General features: G+C 54.2%; 2 protein-coding genes and 1 long non-coding RNA gene across 7 annotated transcripts in view, besides 8 other annotated features; 2 read left to right on the forward strand and 1 right to left on the reverse strand.

Annotated features, from left to right (window-relative positions):
- On the forward strand, positions 1 to 9,286 carry TMEM109 (transmembrane protein 109). Its single transcript, NM_024092.3, has 4 exons — positions 1 to 111; positions 5,529 to 5,773; positions 6,729 to 6,831; positions 7,617 to 9,286. The coding sequence occupies exons 2-4, from the start codon at positions 5,537 to 5,539 to the stop codon at positions 8,006 to 8,008; spliced, it is 732 nt and encodes a 243-aa protein (NP_076997.1). The 5' UTR covers positions 1 to 111; positions 5,529 to 5,536; the 3' UTR covers positions 8,009 to 9,286.
- Positions 237 to 1,235: an enhancer, noted in NCBI's record as "NANOG-H3K27ac-H3K4me1 hESC enhancer chr11:60681866-60682864 (GRCh37/hg19 assembly coordinates)". NCBI's record gives its function as "activates a minimal SCP1, AML or CMV promoter by ChIP-STARR-seq in naive H9 embryonic stem cells {active_cell/tissue: H9 hESC(naive)}" and the evidence as "EXISTENCE:reporter gene assay evidence [ECO:0000049][PMID:30033119]".
- Positions 290 to 449: a silencer, noted in NCBI's record as "silent region_3376". NCBI's record gives its function as "represses an Ori minimal core promoter by ATAC-STARR-seq in GM12878 lymphoblastoid cells {active_cell/tissue: GM12878}" and the evidence as "EXISTENCE:reporter gene assay evidence [ECO:0000049][PMID:35858748]".
- Positions 630 to 799: an enhancer, noted in NCBI's record as "active region_4784". NCBI's record gives its function as "activates an Ori minimal core promoter by ATAC-STARR-seq in GM12878 lymphoblastoid cells {active_cell/tissue: GM12878}" and the evidence as "EXISTENCE:reporter gene assay evidence [ECO:0000049][PMID:35858748]".
- Positions 1,860 to 1,909: an enhancer, noted in NCBI's record as "active region_4785". NCBI's record gives its function as "activates an Ori minimal core promoter by ATAC-STARR-seq in GM12878 lymphoblastoid cells {active_cell/tissue: GM12878}" and the evidence as "EXISTENCE:reporter gene assay evidence [ECO:0000049][PMID:35858748]".
- LOC124902676 (uncharacterized) lies at positions 3,459 to 11,240 on the reverse strand. 2 transcript variants are annotated; one of them, XR_007062688.1, is made up of 2 exons: positions 11,062 to 11,240; positions 3,459 to 4,996 (listed from the first exon to the last, which is right to left on the reverse strand). It is a non-coding gene; the product is annotated as an uncharacterized LOC124902676 (long non-coding RNA). The 2 variants fall into 2 exon arrangements; XR_007062689.1 differs by lacking the exon at positions 11,062 to 11,240 and adding an exon at positions 10,137 to 10,239.
- Positions 4,680 to 5,879: an enhancer, noted in NCBI's record as "BRD4-independent group 4 enhancer chr11:60686309-60687508 (GRCh37/hg19 assembly coordinates)". NCBI's record gives its function as "activates an origin of replication core promoter dependent on BRD2, P300/CBP, MED14 and CDK7 cofactors, and independent of BRD4, by STARR-seq in HCT116 cells {active_cell/tissue: HCT116}" and the evidence as "EXISTENCE:reporter gene assay evidence [ECO:0000049][PMID:35650434]".
- Positions 10,199 to 10,558: a silencer, noted in NCBI's record as "silent region_3377". NCBI's record gives its function as "represses an Ori minimal core promoter by ATAC-STARR-seq in GM12878 lymphoblastoid cells {active_cell/tissue: GM12878}" and the evidence as "EXISTENCE:reporter gene assay evidence [ECO:0000049][PMID:35858748]".
- The window catches only part of TMEM132A (transmembrane protein 132A), a 12,700-nt gene continuing 6,815 nt past the window's right edge, over positions 10,303 to 16,187 (forward strand). For 2 of the 4 annotated variants that reach the window (NM_017870.4, NM_178031.3), the window contains exons 1-4: positions 10,303 to 10,576; positions 13,047 to 13,261; positions 13,484 to 13,702; positions 14,472 to 14,803. In NM_017870.4, coding sequence (NP_060340.2) covers positions 10,477 to 10,576; positions 13,047 to 13,261; positions 13,484 to 13,702; positions 14,472 to 14,803 — 866 coding nt within the window. In that variant the 5' untranslated portion in view covers positions 10,303 to 10,476. Of the gene's footprint in view, positions 13,262 to 13,483; positions 13,703 to 14,471; positions 14,804 to 16,187 lie in introns of all 4 variants that reach the window. The other 2 variants (XM_017017951.3, XM_017017952.3) reach the window with 1 other exon arrangement.
- Positions 10,619 to 10,838: a silencer, noted in NCBI's record as "silent region_3378". NCBI's record gives its function as "represses an Ori minimal core promoter by ATAC-STARR-seq in GM12878 lymphoblastoid cells {active_cell/tissue: GM12878}" and the evidence as "EXISTENCE:reporter gene assay evidence [ECO:0000049][PMID:35858748]".
- Positions 10,879 to 10,948: a silencer, noted in NCBI's record as "silent region_3379". NCBI's record gives its function as "represses an Ori minimal core promoter by ATAC-STARR-seq in GM12878 lymphoblastoid cells {active_cell/tissue: GM12878}" and the evidence as "EXISTENCE:reporter gene assay evidence [ECO:0000049][PMID:35858748]".

Raw genomic sequence — 16,187 nt, forward strand, 5'->3', positions numbered from 1 at the left:
ATCCCGCCTTGCGCATGCGGAGAAGGTAAACCAGCGCCCCGAGTTGAGGCGCGGGTTTGGTGGCGCGTTTCAGCGAAGTCGCACGTGAAGGATAGCAGTGGCCTGAGAAAGGTGAGAGCGGGCCGAGGTCGGAATGTGGGGCAGCGCACGGGAAGGGGAGACAGCAGCCGCTGCAGGCGGCACCAGGCGGAGCCGCGAGGCCTGGAGAGTCCGAGTGGGGAGGGGTCCGCGCGCCCAGCGTGCGAAACAAACCGGGGACCCGGATCCCCGTTGCTATGCAACCGGGGGCGTCGTTTCCAGGCAACCCGGGAGGCGCACGTTTCCGGGGAGAAGAGGGTTGCGGCGAGGTTCCGAGGTCCGGCAGAGGTGGAGCGGCTCCCGGGCGTGGGGACCAGGCCAGCGCCAAGCCCGAGCCCCCGAACCCCGACCCACGGCCCAGCCTCCTGCAGCCTCGGCTCGAGCCCTTCGGGGGGCCCCAAACTCATGGGTCGCGCCACGTTCCTTGCCAGCGACGCTACCCCTCAGCGCTTGGCAGGGGACGCGCCGTTCGAAATAGCACATGCCACTGACACCCTGTCTCCGGGAGGCTGCGCCCCGGTTAGGGCGCGGAGCGGCAGGGAAGCTGCCCCTTTGCCGTCGCCCTGCCCCCAAACAGTTGCTGGGCAGCAGCTGTCAGGGGTTTAGTGGGAGCTGCCCCCAACCTGCCAGGGCGCTGACTTCATTCTCTGCAGTGGCGGCTTCGCCTTGTTTAGGACCTTCCTTTAGACTCAGCTGTGCTTCTCGTGTGGCTGCTGTATATTTGGATCTACTATTAAAATAACCTCCCTCCTCACCTCTCCATGGCTTTCTCGTTCGACCCTCACGGTTTCTTGGCAGGTTGCTAATATTCATTTAATAAACATTTATTAGTCATCTTTCCTACTAGGCGCTGGGGATTCCAACATGTCAAGTCTAACCGGGAGTCGCTCGGTCTACTGGGGAAGGCAGGTTGATAAACTGCTAAATTATGCTACGATATATAGTCAGTGGTAATGTGTGTGCTGCAACATTTCTATAGATGTTTAGTTTACAAAGCGCTTGCTGCAGAAATATCTTAACTCCTTACAGCAACTCTTCACCTGGGTTCACTCCCTTTTACGTTTGAGGAGACTGCAACTCAGGCAGGTTAAGTAACAGGCGTAAGGTAGTAGCTTCTAGTCCGTGGCACACTTGAGCCTGGGACGGAAGTCAGGGGTCCTTTGTACACTGCTGCACTTTTGAAGCTTTGCTTAGACTTTTCCCTGAGCTGCTGGCTATGCATCCGAAATTCCTGAGGAGCTTTGCAAAACAAAGGGCTGAGTCCCTCTCTGGAAGAGTCTGAGTGAGTAGCCCTGGGTGGGGCAGACGTCCTTGTTTAACAGGCTGCACAGGCAGTTCCGATGGGCAGCCAAAGTTGAGAACCGCCGCTCCTTAGGGGCAGCTATGAGCAGCGGCGGGACAGTCAGAGCCGGTAGAGGGCACTTTTTGCCGCCCCTCCTGCCACCTGGTGATTCATAGCATGAAATGAAACTAACAAAAGGAAAGAGAAGAGGAGGAAGGAGCCTTGATTGGGAGGGGGGGGCGCGAAATGCCCCATCCTACCCTTGTAGCAAACCACAGCTAAACATAAGCAGTGGCGCCTTCTCACTAACACAATAAGTAAAGCTGTTTCCCCAGCCAGGCTGGGCTCTCCAGACCCACCTGAGCCATATTGCAGCTGCCGAACAGAAGTGGCAGGTTTTGTCTCCCACCTTTTGCTGTCCTCTCATACCTCTTGGTACAAAACCATGGCCTGTAAGCCCAGAAGGCAGATGGTCTCCTGGTATGTGTTCCCTCGGAGGAGTCTGGATGTCCTTCCACTTTGAGCTTGTTGGTGAACTTCAGCTCCATGAGGGCAGGGACTATGTCCACTATCAAGGCAGCATGCGGGTATGGGACAAGCAAAAAGGCAAGATTGAGATCCTGGGTACTGGAGTCAAGTCCCAGCTCTGCTGTGTGATCTTGGATAAGTCACTCAACCTCTCTAAGCCATACTTTTCTGAGTAAGATGAAGAGGGTAATAATACCTTAAAAGATTGTTGTTAGAGTTAAATGAAGTGATGAAACAATAAGCACTCTGTGAATTATAAAGCACCACACAAAAATTATTATAACATATGTATATGTATAGATATGTATAACATTTGTATTATTATGAGTTGTTAATTGAGTGCCTATTATTTGTCTGAGGCCAGGCATTGCAGAAGGTGAAGAAGTTTTAAGACATGCTTCCTCCTCTCAGAGGCTGAGACTGTTTCCATGCCTTTAGTAAAACTATTTGATTAGGCCAAAGTGAGGAGGCCTAATAGCAGTGAGTCCATACTGCCTGAGATTCACCTGGAAAAAAATGAGAAGGAATCCTATTAAAGAAAACAATTTGAAAAAGCAGACCAGCCAGCCAATCTCTGCACTCATTATCTCCAAAGGATACACTACACAATCCTGTTAGGTTTGGTATCTGGTGCACTTCAGAACATCAGTCTGCATAACGATGCCAGCCTCACTGCAGAGGGCTTATTTCAAGGTCTCCTAGCTCCCCTTAACTGGGGCAGACAGCCACTGGAGAGTTGGGGCTGGCACAGAACAAGGCAGGCTGCTGTGGGAGGAGCAGCTTATGGCACCCTGACCTCCTAGGGCTGAGGAAACGATATTTGATCCCTCCTGGTGGAGGTCCTTGGATAAAGGATCCAACCCAAGATAGCAACCCTGCTCTTTTAAGTCCCCAACATGGTTATGACCCAGATAGCTCAGGAACTCACCTGTGCTTTCCTCATCTGCGACCACTGGCAGGCAGGAACCATCTGGTTCTTGATTTGTGCCAAAGACAGTAGAAGGCTTTCCCAGCCTGAGGGCCTTCTACATGAATTGCATGTTTTTCAGCCTTGCTTGACCCTCCAGGCTTCTGGAAGGGCTTAGAGCAGCTGTTTCTGGACCAAAAAGTACCCTAAATGTAGTATTTTTAGAACCCTTTCCTAGACTCTCCTCCTTCCCCCTAAGCAAGACTAGGACATCATTCTCTTCCTTCTCCATCCCTCATGGCTCTGGATTTATTGTCAACTCCCTGAGTGCCTGTGTAACTGCAAAAAGTTCAAAAACCTGACTGCTCCTACCTCAGGGGCATGGCTTAGCCTCTGATCATCAGGTCTGAATCATGAAAACTCCTGGAGCTACAGGTTCATTTCTGAACCTGGAGGGGAACAGGGAATTTGCTGGCGCTGTCTGACATTTCTCAAGCACAGTGGCAAGTAGAAGTTGAACTTGTGTACTTTTTCTTGGCTGATCCTTACCTGCTTCAATGAGTTGGCACTTGTTGGGTCTTAACTTGTCTGTGGCATTGTGTTACAAGACCAGAGCACAAAGCACAAAGTTGTTAGGTAATTTTCACCAGTAATTCACTGAGATGATTGGTAGATGCCAAGTTTATTTTAACTCATGAATAATCTGTTGTGTGACTTTTTTTTTTAAGCGTCTTGCTCTCTTGCCCAGGATGGGATACAGTGGCATGATCATAGCTCACTGCAGCCGTGACCTCCTGGGCTCAAGTGATCCTCCCCCCTCAGCCTCCCAAATAGCTGGGAGTACAGGCACGCACCACCACACCTGACTAATTTATTTATTTATATTTATTTTGTAGAGACAGGGTCTCCTATGTTGCCCAGGCTGCTCCCAAACTCCTGGGCTCAAGCAATCCTCCCACCTCAGCCTCCCAAAGTGTTGGGATTACAGGAATGAGCCACTGTGCCTGGCCTGTATGACTTTCTAAATCACTTCTGAGACTTAGTTGGAGACAATACAGCAGAGTTGTTGTGTATGAGGGGTCCAATGTCAGAAGTACCTACATTCAAATGCTGATTTCCCCAGTTAATACTTAACCTGCCTCAATTACTTCAGTAAAATGGGGGATAATAGCAACACCTACCCGATGGGCTGTTGTGACAGTTAAATGAGCGCGGTGGTGCATGGCAAGACCTAGCTGAATGTTAGCTTTTTATTAATAGTATTTCTTTAAAGGTTGTTCATTATACCCTTGCTCACTGTCCTCGTCCATTTTCTGCTTCCTATAACAGAATGCCACTGCCTGCGTAGTTTATAATGAACAGAAATTCATTAGGGTCACAGTTCCAGAGGCTGGGAAGTCTAAGGGCATGGCGCTGGCATCTGGCAAGGGTCATCCTATGGCAGAAGGCAGAACCCAGCACATGAGACAGAGACAGGAAATCAGGCCAAAGTCATCCTTTTTATCAGGAGCTGCATTCCTGGGATAACTAATCCACTCCCAAGATAACGGCATTAATCCATTCATGAGGGCTGAACCCTCATAACCTAATCACCTCTTAAAGGTCCCACCTTTTAATACCATCATCATGGCAATTAAATTTCTTTCTTTTTTTTTTTTTTTTGGTGGAGAAGGGGTCAAACTATTTTACTGAGGGGAATGGGGTGTCAAAGAAGTACTTAGGACCATGAGATCCAACATCCTTGGCTGGACTGGGAGCTCCCAGGCTCTGCAGGAGGTGCAAGAACAGTTAAATTTCAACATGAGTTTTGCTCTTCAAACCATAGCACCTCCATTGGGGGTGGGGAGGTGAGGTCACTCTGTATCAGTGGTTCTCAACTTCATGCAGTGGAACTGCCTAGGGAGCTTTTGCAGATCCAAGGCTAGGCCACACCCAGACAATGATATCAGAACCTCTGGGCTGGGGACACAGACATCAGTACTTGGGAAGCTTCCAGGTGATTCCAGTGAGCAGCCATGGTTGAGACCCACAGTATAACTTGACTCCTAATGAAGATGGGTGGAAGCAGAAGCTTGGGTTCAAATCCTGGCCTTTCTGTGTAGCCCAGTGACCATGGGAAAATGCTTAACTTCTGAGTCACAGTTTCTTCTCGTCTGTACCAGTAGGGGCGAGGAGGATAAAAGCCACCTCACATGATGGTCCTGCAGAGAAGATGACATATGTGCAGTTATTCTTGTTTGAGCACATAACTGAGCACTTTTCTTTATACCATTATATGGCAGTAATCCTACTTGTGTGCTATTTTTAAGTTGTTTTTTATACCAGCTGTATCTTAAGTAGATTATAAGCTCCTTGGGACAGAGCCTTTATAGAGTCTTATAATACTTTTATGCCTATAGCACCTAAGATACAGGGACAGGCCTTCAGATTTTTAGAACTGGCACAAACCTTAGAGAGATCTTCTCGCCAACTCTAAAGTGTTGAATAATACTTGCTGGTTAATTAATATGCAAGTGGTAAAGAATGTGAAAGAGGAACCTGTGAGTCAGATGGTTGTGCCCAGCTTCAGTTGGAAGTCCCAGTCCTTCCTCTCCCAGCTAACAGCACTTTCTTTCCAGGGTTAGTTTGGTGCTTGCTTGGGGTAGGGGTGGAGAAGGATGTTGGGATAATCAGAGCTGAGAGGGTGAGTGTGTCTACCATGGCACTCAGCTCACTGTGCTTCTCTCCTGGCAGACCCAGTCATGGCAGCCTCCAGCATCAGTTCACCATGGGGAAAGCATGTGTTCAAAGCCATTCTGATGGTCCTAGTGGCCCTTATCCTCCTCCACTCAGCATTGGCCCAGTCCCGTCGAGACTTTGCACCACCAGGCCAACAGAAGAGAGAAGCCCCAGTTGATGTCTTGACCCAGATAGGTCGATCTGTGCGAGGGACACTGGATGCCTGGATTGGGCCAGAGACCATGCACCTGGTGTCAGAGGTAAGGAAGGTAGTCCCTGTGTGACTACACACATTAAGGAAAAATAAAAGAAGAAAGGTTGGTAATGGCCACCTCATCTTAGTTCCACATCCTCTCTGGTGCAGAGAGCCCCAAATTCCACAAAAAGAAGCCACACAGCACTTGTCTTTGAATTCCTCGTTATTTGATTGCTGTCCTAGGGCCTTTTAGCTCCACCCCTATCCTTTCCTGGCTCCTGCCCTTTCCTTGCCAGAAAGGCTGGGAAATGAGCCATCTTTATAAGCCCATGTTACTGGGTGACTGTAGAGTCTCACTTTGGTCTAAATCTGACCTAGAATCTCGAAATGGCAAAATATCAAGTCCTGAATCCATTCCTTCACCTGCAGAAGTGGGTTGAGCTTATTGGGAGCCTAAGGCAGGGTTATCTTTTTTTACCTGGTGGCATCCCAAGCATGGTATCACATACTTTTGATAGGCTGGACTGAAGGGCTGAGACAATCATTTATTAAATCCATAATATAGTATAGCTGATAGACTCCTTTTTCACTGGAACATCCTATCCCTTTACAGATGTTCTCCACGCACCTTCATGACTCCCTGGACAGCTAGCAGGCCTCCAGTTTTATAGGGTGACTACTAAAAGTATTTGATTGTCTCCGTCATTCACACACAAGTACACCTACTACTCCCTCCAAAGTATCCCAGCAAAGCAGTTAAATTATGTCCCAGATGCCCTAGTTTCCAGTTCAGGAAGGAGAGACAGCCTGTTGGCCATCCCTGTAGACTAGAAGGTGGATGTGGAAGGGACCCCTCAGCCAGGCCCAAGGCCCCTACCCTCTGACCCAGGCCTGTCACCACTGGGTGAGAAACAGGTCTGAGACATTCCTGCAGTTCTTGCCTGGACAGTGGTGATCAGGCGTGAAGGCGAGGACCGTTGTTCATTATGAACTCATCTCGCTCCGTGCTCTTTCCACAGTCTTCGTCCCAAGTGTTGTGGGCCATCTCATCAGCCATTTCTGTGGCCTTCTTTGCTCTGTCTGGGATCGCCGCACAGCTGCTGAATGCCTTGGGACTAGCTGGTGAGTGTTCGAGTGCTGGGTAGTCAGCCAGAGCTTTGCCTGTACTTTCCTACTTGTGGGAGTTCATCTTTGTCAGGGTCTAGCCTTTTCCCCAAGCTGCTTAACCCTTCCCAGGATTCTGCAGAGACATGGCCAAAGAGCAAGCCAAGAACTACCATGGCCAGGTGTGGTGGCTCCCGCCTGTAATCCCAGCACTTTGGGAGGTCAAGGCAGGAGGGTCACTTGAGGCCAGAAGTTTGAGACCAGCCTGGGCAATATAATGAGACCTCGTCTCTATAAAAAATTAGCCAAGCATGGTGGCGTGTGTCTGTTGTCCCAGCTACTTGGGAGCTGAGGTGGGAGGATCGCTTGAGCCCAGGAGGTAGAGGTTGCAGTGAGCCGGGATCACGTCACTGCACTCCAGCCTCGGCGATGGAGCAAAACCCTGTCCCACCCAGACCCCCTAAAAAAGAACTTCCGCCACCACGTGCCAGTTGTTCACTTCCTATCAGGCATCGTGCTGAGCTGTAGTATCTCATTTAATTGCCAGCCACAGTACAGGGAGGCAGTAGAATTGTTCCCGTTTAGTAAATGAAACTGCAGCTCAACAGAAGCAAGTAATCTACTCCAGGCCTCACAGCCAGCAAGAAACAGAGCTGAGATTCCAACCCATATCACTCTGAGTCTGCGAGAACGGCTTATTCCTTTGCAATGTGCCTAGCACCTCCCACCCTTTTAGCTCTTGCCCCGCTCTCCCCTCACCACTTCTCCAGGTTGGCTGACTCTGTGACTCTCTTGGCTTCCAGGTGATTACCTCGCCCAGGGCCTGAAGCTCAGCCCTGGCCAGGTCCAGACCTTCCTGCTGTGGGGAGCAGGGGCCCTGGTCGTCTACTGGCTGCTGTCTCTGCTCCTCGGCTTGGTCTTGGCCTTGCTGGGGCGGATCCTGTGGGGCCTGAAGCTTGTCATCTTCCTGGCCGGCTTCGTGGCCCTGATGAGGTCGGTGCCTGACCCTTCCACCCGGGCCCTGCTACTCCTGGCCTTGCTGATCCTCTACGCCCTGCTGAGCCGGCTCACTGGCTCCCGAGCCTCTGGGGCCCAACTCGAGGCCAAGGTGCGAGGGCTGGAACGCCAGGTGGAGGAGCTGCGCTGGCGCCAGAGGCGAGCGGCCAAGGGGGCCCGCAGTGTGGAGGAGGAGTGAGCCGGATGCCCCACACACCGCCAGTGTCATACCAAAGAGCTGAGCTGCTTCGGGGCCATGCAGCCCTCCTGCCAGCCCCCTGCCCTTTTCTTGCCCTGTCTCTGAACCTTCAGAACATTGATCCTTGCCGCAGCCCCACTAGCCAAGAGAAACAGAGAAAGACCATTCCCCCTGCCTGTCCTTGCGGCCCTGTCTTCTGAGGTTCTCTGTCTGGGGTTGGCTCTCTTAACCCTTTCTCTGCTCCCAGCCTGCCTCACCAGGGAAGGTTGGAGGGGCCTCCCTCTGGCTTCTGCATCTGCGCCAGCAAACATCACTGCCGTTGGTCTCTCATGACTTAACTGGCTTCCCTCTGCTGCTGCCTTGGCTTCCTCCTAATGCTCGTGCTCTCCTGTCCTTCTGAAGTTGCTCCTTGGCCAAATCTCCAGCTCCCTTCTTGTTTTCCTCATCCTCCTACCCTGTACTCCCACCAAACCATGGTCCTTTAAGGCACGCTCCTGTCCTCCTCATTGCCCAGCAGTAGGGAGGGGCAGGGGTAAGGGGACCTGAGGATAAAGGGTGGGGAAACAGGGTCCCCTGAGGCCTGTGGGGGCTGCAGGGGAGGAGGATGTACCTTGTGTCTCTTTCAAGTGCCTTAATCCGAGCCAGCAGGGCCTTCTGCTTGCCTGCTGCCATACTGTATGTAGGAAAGTGTTCTGTGGCTGCTTTGTGTCAAGAAAAGAGCAGTCACTCTCAGAATCTTGATTCCCCATCAGCCAAAGCAAAAGATGGCTGCTGCTTTGTAGGCATGTGCCTGCAAGTGGGACCTTGCTGGGCATTATATGCCCTGTGGGGGTTTCAGAGACCCTGAAAGAGGAGGGAGGACCCGCCTCCTTGTCTGCACAACTGCATGCACTTCTCTCCCCATCGCTCCACAACCTGAAACCGAGAAGGAGTTGCTGACCAGTGCCCACCCCGGCAGCCCGGGAGGAACACAGGCAGCTCCTTTCCCTTCACGTGGTCTGCAGAGAGCAGGGTGAGCTGCCAGCTGCCCCTCTCCACCAGGGTACCCTGTCTTGGTGGTTAGGGGCCACTTTTCCTTTGAGGCTCTAGTGGAGGTGGATGTCCTTCTCTGCCAGGCTTGGCACATGATGTGAAGAATAAATGCCCAATTCTTACTGTTCAGGTTTGATGTGGAATCACAGCTGCAGTGATATATATTTTTTATCAGTGCTTGGTTGGTTTTAAATAAAGTGCACGCTATTTTATTATCTTGTTCTGAATAAAATGTATTTACTCCAAGTCTGGATTGCTTCCATGTCTCCTCTACTGCTAAACCCATTTCTGTAGTGCAGCTCCGCCTCCCAATTTCTCCCTGTGGGGGCAGTGTGAAGCTGGCAGAGGGGAGAGCTGAAAAGGCAGGCTGGTACCAGGTACCCTTCCCTCCAGGAGCACAAGGAATTAGGAAAGCATGCCCCCATTACAAAACGTAGGAACGACTGGCACTGCTGGAAATGCGTGTGCTTGCTGGGCAGAGGGGTCACCCCTTCCCTGCAGTGTGCTGAGGTGGGTGGGCAGCCTGGAGAAGACTTGCCTGCCCTCCCCTTCACCACCCACCTGAGGACTTTCCTGTGCCAAGGTTTCCAGTCGGCCCACAGGCTGGACCAATTTTGCGGAGGGCCTCAGACATAATTTTTTCTTTGTAAGCTGCCCAGGGCATGAGAGTGTGCAGCTGGGGCCCCTGCTCTGGGCCTCTCCCCAAACTGCCTGGTAGGCAACACTGGGTCAGGACCCTTGAGGCTGGCCTTCCCTCGGGAGTGTTGGGCAACCCTCAACCCTCCTAAGCGCTGCAGGACGCTGCCCAGGTGGAGCTGGTCAAGAGACTAGAGCTGCCTGCACCTAGAGCCCTTCCTCCACGGCGGTGGCCTAGCTCTGTCAGGGCAGGCTCAGGTGGTTGGCATCTGGCCCCGTTTGACCCCCTCCCTCCTTTCCTGTCCCTGCAGCTCCCGTCCCATGTGTCCCTGAATTCTGGTTCTGACTCAGGTGTCAGATGCCTTCACAAGTGAGCTGCTTGTGGGGGTGGGTGAGGCAGAGAAAGTGGCTTTTTCTTCCCTGATCAGAAGCTTCCGTGAGGGAGCCACACAGAACTCACCGAGTCCCTCCTGGCAGAGGCGGCCGTCCTCTGTTGCTTCCAGGGACGTGGCCCTCTTCCCGACCTCGGTCGCCTGAGCGCGCAGGGATTGGGGATCCGTAGGGCACTAGGACCCGGCGGGGCGGAGGGGGCAGCCCATGTGCTGCGATTCGCTCCCTCCCACCCCACTGCTCCCGCTCCATTGTCTGGGAATTGCAGCCGCGGGGCGGGCGGCGGCGGCGGCGGCGGCGGCCGGGACCCAGCGGGCCAGGTGGGGACGGCGCGGAGCGGGTGCGGGAGATGCCGTGCGGGACTGGGGCCACCTGAGCCGCCCGCCTCGTCCCCGCCTTCTGTGGGAAGGATGTGCGCGCGGATGGCCGGTCGCACAACAGCGGCCCCTCGGGGGCCCTACGGCCCCTGGCTCTGCCTCCTGGTGGCCCTCGCCCTGGACGTCGTGAGAGGTCAGCGGGAGGGGAGGGCCGGGGCGAGGGGCGGCCGGGCCCGGCCGAGTGGGAGCGAGTGATGCCCGGGAGCCACCAACCTTTGGGTTCTCGGACTGAACCCTGAGCGGGGTCGCCCCGCAGCGCCCTGAAGGTCGGAGAGTTCTTGCCCTCGGGAACCTGCCCCCAGCCACTCGCCCCTAAGGCTTCCTTCACCTTGCACGACCCGGCAACTCCTTCCTGACCCGGGGCAGCCCGGCGCAGGGGCTTCCCCGTCCCGCACCTTCTGCGAGGGACCCCTCAGCCCGGGCATCGAACCCGGCGGCCCCGGTCCCGGGCGCACTAGCGTCATCCCCACTCCCTCACTGTGGTCTGTAGCGCTGCACCCTCCTAGCCTCCTTCCGCCGCCACCAACCCACCCCCCTCGGGAGTGGAAAGCAGCCCCTTTGCCTGGGACCTGCAACAGACGCAAGCCCTCCCTCCCCCTTCCCCCAGGGCTCCCTGACCTTGGCGTCTCCAGGGATGGCCGCATCCTTGCCTTCCAGAACCTTTGAGAGGATTCCTGTCACTGCGGGAAAGGGCAGCAACTTCCCTGTGCTTCGGGGTGGGGGTCGGACTCCCTTGGCCTGGGCTAGCTGGGCTGTGGCTGCAAGGCAAAGGATGCCACAGAAGACAGAGGGACAGTGAAACATTCTCTGCCCTCCCCACCGAGAGAGCCGAGCGCTGGGTGATGGGAGTCCGTGGGAGTCAGGCTAAGAGCATCTTGTAATTATGGAGGCAATGGAGTAGGAGGCGAACCTGAAGCCAGTGGCTGCCCCCAGAGAGCAGTGGTCACTTGTTACGCTTGGGGCAGGGGGCAGGGAGAGCCTGTCAGTCATATGCTCCTTGGTGGGGAGGGCCAGGAAGGAGGTTGAAACCAATTCCCCCACCCCCACCCACAGTCCAGCTGTGGGGCTGAGAGGGAGCTAGCTGTGGGGTTGCTTTCAGCCACCTGCTCCCCATCCCGAGGGACGCCATGGGAGTCCTAATAGAGAGAGGAGGAAAACCTTGTCAAATCCATTATGCAGCAGCAATAATGCCTGCTCCCTCCAGACAGCACTCCACAGTTTACACAGCCCTGTCCTGTCCACAGTGCCACCTAATGCTCCTGCCCCTTTTACAAGTGAGGAAACAGGCTTCAAAATGTTAATGCCTGACCCAAGTTTCATCAATTTAAATTCAGGTCTCCAGGCTCCCAGGAAATCCTCTCTAGGGAGCGCTTCCTAGTTTGGGGGAATTCCAGGATGAGCAAGACAGGGTCCCTTGTTTATAGGAAGATTACTAATTCAGAGGAGGCACCCAGGGTTGCAAAAGACAGGAGACTGGTGGGAAGGTGAGTAACCAAGGAGGGCTTCCTTCAGAAGGAGGCAGTATTCACTCATGGCCCTGAATGAGGAGGGAGGTGCCACCGGGCAGAGCAGAGGAGAGGAGGTGCGCTCCAGGGCATGAAGCCTGCAGGGTGCACCGTGGCAGTGGAGAGTGGAGAGAGAAGTGGCAGGTGGAGACGCCGGATGGTCTAGTGGCTAATACCTGGGATCAACCCCCAGCTCCTTCACTCTCCAGCTGTGGAACCACAGGCAAATACCTTAACCTCTCGGCCTCATTTTCTACATCCACAAAATGGGATTCATCATAATAGAACCTGGTTCACAGAATTATTACAAAGACTCAAAGAGTTCATATACATACAGTATTTAAATTCTCACCTGCATATAGCATTCACAAAATGCTAATTATTATTATTAGTGCTCATAGTTAGAGCAAACCAATATGGCTTAGTGCTCCTTTGTCCTTCTGATGATTGACTATTTTGACTGTCTTCCCCAGGCTCCTGGTCCCCACCCCACCCCCAGGGCAAGCAAGTGCCTTCACAGACCTCTTCAGCACCTTCCGCGCCCGCCCATCCCACACTTGCACTCGATACCAGTCGGTTCAGGGAAGAAGGGAGCAAGCTTGGAAAGATGGTGCAGGTTGCCATGGCAATGATGGGGGAGGAGGGGTGGATGCCCAGCAGAGCCTGGCCAAGGATTCAGGGCAGAGAAAGCTCACTTCATTACCATATTTTACTACACTGGCCCAGTCTGCCGACGGTTGCACCCCAGAAGTGCCTTGGTATCAGAGGCGAGTAGATGGAGGGCAGGAGTTGGGGAAAAGGAGACATTGAGAAGGCTGTTGGCGAGAAGAAGGCCAAGGTCTGTGGAAAGTAGAAGGAATAGCTGGGAAGCATCCAGTCCTGGACTCAGATTCGAATCCTGGCTTTGCTACATACTACCTGTGTGAGGCTCTTTAAGCCTCAGTGACCTCATCTGTGAAATGGTGGTGAGAGGGGAAGGGACATTTACAGCCCTTTTCTCCCTCCCTTGCCCACAACTACTGTGCCCCAGCATGGCACCCGGGTCAGCCCCTGCCAGCTCTGGAGCTGTCATCATCTCTCCCTCTTATGCCTCTTCAGTGGACTGTGGCCAGGCTCCCCTGGACCCTGTCTACCTGCCGGCAGCCCTGGAGCTCCTAGACGCCCCTGAACACTTCCGTGTGCAGCAGGTGGGCCACTACCCACCTGCCAACTCCTCTCTGAGCTCCCGATCTGAGACCTTTCTGCTCCTACAGCCCTGGCCCAGGGCCCAGCCACTTCTCCGGGCCTCCTACCCACCTTTTGCCACTCAGCAGGTAAGGAGGGGGCACCGGGGACTCTCAGGCTAACAGGACTCAGGGCCTGAGGTCTGCTGGGTACAAATTGGGAGCCTTCCCCAGCCCCGGCTGTGCTCCCCATATTCCAGAGGGGGAAACTGAGGCCCATAAAGGTTCTCTTCTGCCAAGCTGGGATCCCATCTTCCTAGATCTTCCCCTCCCAAGCTCCTCTTTTGTTAAGCCCTCTCATTCTCCCTCCAGGTGGTCCCCCCTCGAGTCACTGAGCCCCACCAACGGCCAGTCCCATGGGACGTGCGGGCCGTTTCAGTGGAAGCGGCTGTGACTCCAGCAGAGCCCTACGCCCGGGTTCTCTTCCACCTCAAAGGGCAGGATTGGCCACCAGGGTCTGGCAGCCTGCCCTGTGCCCGGCTCCATGCCACACACCCTGCCGGCACTGCTCACCAAGCCTGCCGCTTCCAGGTGAGTAGACAGGCCCCACCTAGGCTGGTCCTGCTGCAGCTGCATCAGCCAGGTGGTGGGCCCGCGGCAGAGAGGAAACCCCCACTCCTGGGAAGCGCGGGGGTTGTGGACCACCCGACTCCATTTCTGCCCCCACTAGCTTTCAGTGCTGTGAAAAGGTTATTTAGGGCCCCAGAGGGAGTTCAGTCCTTGGTGTGTGACTTTGAGTAAGTAACTTAATCTCTCTGAGATTCAGTTTCCTCATCTGAAGAATGGGGTGTTAAGAATTCCTACCCCATCTGGAGTTGGAGTAAGGAACAAGTGAGATGAATGTAAGGATAGCTTACGGCAGAGTAATCAATCAGCCAGTGTGTTTGCATTATTAGTAGTGTTACTTTTATAATTGCTATTTCCACTATTTTGGAGTCTAGCACAGGAATCCATGGGAGAGGCGTCTCTTGAGCTTTAGGATTCTGAGAAGAAGACTGGATTCTAGGCAGGATAGTCCTGGGCTTGGTTAGGGTAAGGCCCTGGGATTGGCTTACTTTGTAATGAGACCTATCCCAAGGGCTGAAGAGTGGTCTGCGGACATGCTCTGAAACCTAGACCTGGTTTGAAGCCCCAGCCAGGTTGCTGGTTTGCTGTGTCACTCAGGCTGTGTCTCCGGCCCATGCTGGGCCTCCCTTTCATGAGCCCCTCCAGCTCTGGGTTTCCTGCCATGGGTGCTGAGAATCCTGTTCCTCGCCCTGCACCCACCCCCATGCCAATTACTGCTGTCGTGTCTTCACAGCCATCCCTGGGCGCCTGCGTGGTGGAGCTGGAGCTTCCCTCGCACTGGTTCTCACAGGCCTCCACCACACGGGCCGAGCTGGCCTACACGCTTGAGCCTGCAGCTGAGGGCCCTGGGGGCTGTGGCTCCGGCGAGGAGAACGACCCTGGGGAGCAGGCCCTCCCAGTGGGGGGTGTGGAGCTGCGCCCAGCAGACCCCCCGCAGTACCAGGAGGTACCTCTGGACGAGGCTGTGACTCTGCGGGTGCCTGACATGCCAGTGCGGCCCGGCCAGCTCTTTAGTGCTACCCTCCTGCTTCGGCACAACTTCACAGCCAGCCTCCTGACCCTGCGGTGAGCACCAGGCCACGGGGATGGGTGAGGGTGGGAACCTCTGTGGGAAGACTAGGGACAGGTACCTGCTCCTCCTGGGGTCCTTGCTGGAATCCTTGACCTCTGCAAAACATGTGTCCACCAAACTAAACTCCTTCCAGGTAAAAAGCCATGACTGTGCTGGTAGGAGCCCACCATGGGCACAGCCCTGGAATTAGAGTCAGAAGTAGGAAGCTGCCCCTTCCCCTGGCACCTCCCTGAGATTCCTTTGTCCAATGGGGCTAACGGTCCACCTTCAGGGCAGCTGCAAGTCTCCAGGGAGGGGAACCCGCAAAGGGCTTAGAGACTGCAGTACCTAAGTGTGAGCTCTTGCTCCAGTGCTCCAGAGAGGGATATTTGCCCCAATCACGTTCACCTACATGCTGTCCCTCCTTGCCACCCTCGCCGTAGGAGTCTAGCCTTTGGACAGAGCTTGCTCTTCCCCATAGGAAGGCCCTGATTCTTTGTGTCCTTTTCCGTAATAAGTTCCCCCAAAGCAGCCCCCACCCACCTACCCAGTTCACCCGGCAAGGGCTTGCAGAGTATGACTTGCTTCTGGAGTCCAGCGCAGGAATCCATGGGAGAGGCATCTCTTAGGCTTTAAGATTCTGAGAAGCCTGAGTTCTAGGCAGGATAGTCCTGGGCTTGGTTAGGGTGAGGCACTGGGACTTGCTCACTTTGTAATGATATCTTTCCTGAGGATCGAAGAGCGGTCTGTGGACATGCTTTGAAACCTAGACCTAGTTTCAAGCCCTGCCTGGGTTTGTGCATGTCCCGTCTCTGTGTCTCCCCATCTCCTACGCCCTCCTATGCTCACTCTTATTAAGCAGATCTTTCCTAGACACTTACAGCCTGCCAAGCCCTGTGTCTTCACTCTGCAGATCCAAACACGAGCAAGGGCCAGTCCCTATCTGGCAGAAAGGGGCCCCAGTGGTAGGGAAGGGAGCTGGATGGGCATGAATTGGATTAGAAGGCATGTGGGTGTGTAAGCACTGAGGGAGGTTCAAAGTGCGGTGGGAGCTCAGGTGAGTGGGTGCAGTAAGGGGGAAATTCATCCCACCACTGGAAAAGCTTTCTAAAGGAAATGGTCTGTGAGTTGTTGGAGGCTTAAAGCATCAGCAGGTAAAGTAAGAAAGGGCAGAGCAGGCTGAAGGCACAGACTGGGCAAAGGCTTGGAGTCACGAATGGGTGCCGTGTGTGTGGGAAACTTGTGTGTAGCTGAAGCAGAGAGTGCATGGAGAGATGTCACAACCGAAGTTAAGGCTGGACCAGACCCTGGAGGGCCCCCAAATGCCCGGCTAAGCTTTGACCTTATGGGCAGTGGGGAGGCGTAAGTGGTCTTTGGGTGGGGGAGAGCTGTAAGGTG

Source organism: Homo sapiens, chromosome 11 (assembly GCF_000001405.40).
Source record: "Homo sapiens chromosome 11, GRCh38.p14 Primary Assembly".
Classification (NCBI taxonomy): domain Eukaryota; kingdom Metazoa; phylum Chordata; class Mammalia; order Primates; family Hominidae; genus Homo; species Homo sapiens.

What these genes read in the sequence shown, in the direction of transcription:
- TMEM109 (NM_024092.3), top strand. Translation starts at nt 5,537, where the DNA reads ATGGCAGCCTCCAGCATCAGTTCACCATGGGGAAAGCATGTGTTCAAA. An exon ending in CCATGCACCTGGTGTCAGAG is followed by an intron (nt 5,774 to 6,728) that starts GTAAGGAAGGTA and finishes CTCTTTCCACAG; the next exon opens with TCTTCGTCCCAAGTGTTGTG. An exon ending in GAATGCCTTGGGACTAGCTG is followed by an intron (nt 6,832 to 7,616) that starts GTGAGTGTTCGA and finishes CTTGGCTTCCAG; the next exon opens with GTGATTACCTCGCCCAGGGC.